This window comes from Homo sapiens, chromosome 6 (assembly GCF_000001405.40).
Source record: "Homo sapiens chromosome 6, GRCh38.p14 Primary Assembly".
NCBI classification, from domain to species: Eukaryota; Metazoa; Chordata; class Mammalia; order Primates; family Hominidae; genus Homo; species Homo sapiens.
The window spans coordinates 121603881-121604964 of record NC_000006.12 but is presented as its reverse complement, the minus strand read 5'-3'; the positions used below and the strand labels follow the sequence as shown (position 1 = coordinate 121604964).

Sequence of the window (1084 nt, the reverse complement as noted above, 5' to 3'; positions counted from 1 at the left end):
ATAACAAATTATAATCTCATTAAACTTAAAGCTAGGGGCCCGGTACGGTGGCTCACCCCTGTAATCCCAGCACTTTGGGAGGCTGAGGCAGGTGGATCATGAGGTCAGGAGTCTGAGACCAGCCTGGCCAATATGGTGAAACCCTGTCTCTACTAAAAATACAAAAATTAGCCAGGCATGGTGGCGCTTGCCTGTGGTCCCAGCTACTTGGGAGGCTGAGGCAAAAGAATCGCTTGAACCCGGGAGGCAGAGGTTGCAGTGAGCCGTGATCAGGCCACTGCACTCCAGCCTGGGTGACAGAACAAGACTTGGTCTCAAAAAAAAAAAAAAAAAAAAAAAAAAAAACCTTGAAGCTAGGGGCAACCTGTATGCAATGACTAGATGGTATAATACATAGACTTTGCCACCTTTTCTTAATTTAGAACAACTTTGAAGAGAAATCTCAGATCCCCAGCTCCCTAAAACATCACCTTGGCCTCTGTTGAAAGTGCAGCACAATTCAATCTCTCCCTCTTTTCAAACCTGCTTCCTTCATTCCCTTACAGGTGTTTCTGAGAAAACCTTATAACACACTTACTGCATCCAAATCTTCATCTCAGTATGTTTCCAGGGAGTCTGACTCAAGAAAAGCATAACCAATCTCTTTGCCTTCCTGGGCACATGGAGAATTATACTTCCTAGCTCCCTTATAGTTAGATGAAGCTATTTGTCTAATTTTGGTCAGTGGGCTGTAAACTTATGTGATCTGTGTCATTTCTAGTCCTAGACATTTAATTGTGGATGTAAGTTCTGTCTTCCCCTTCTGCAGATACCTCCAATGTCACTTATTCTAGGTGTAGCTATGCTATAGTTTGAATGTATTTAAATTTATATATTGGAACCTCAGACCGAATGTGATAGTAGCAGGAGGTGGGACGTTTGGGAGGCGATTAAGACATGAGGGTAGAGCCCTCATAAATGGGATTACTATACTGTAAAAGGGCTCCAGGAAACCAGACCCTTTTCTGGCCCTTCCACTCTTCTACTATGTGAAGACTCAGCAAGAAGGCTTTCACGAGACACCGAATGCTCTCCCCTTGATCTT

At 43.7% G+C, this 1084-nt stretch overlaps 1 annotated feature.

Annotated features, from left to right (window-relative positions):
• Window positions 1-211: a silencer, noted in NCBI's record as "fragment chr6:121925900-121926110 (GRCh37/hg19 assembly coordinates)". NCBI's record gives its function as "represses an EF-1alpha promoter that drives an FKBP-Casp9 reporter gene in an ReSE screen in phorbol 12-myristate 13-acetate-treated (for megakaryocytic differentiation) K562 erythroleukemia cells {active_cell/tissue: K562(+PMA)}" and the evidence as "EXISTENCE:reporter gene assay evidence [ECO:0000049][PMID:32094911]".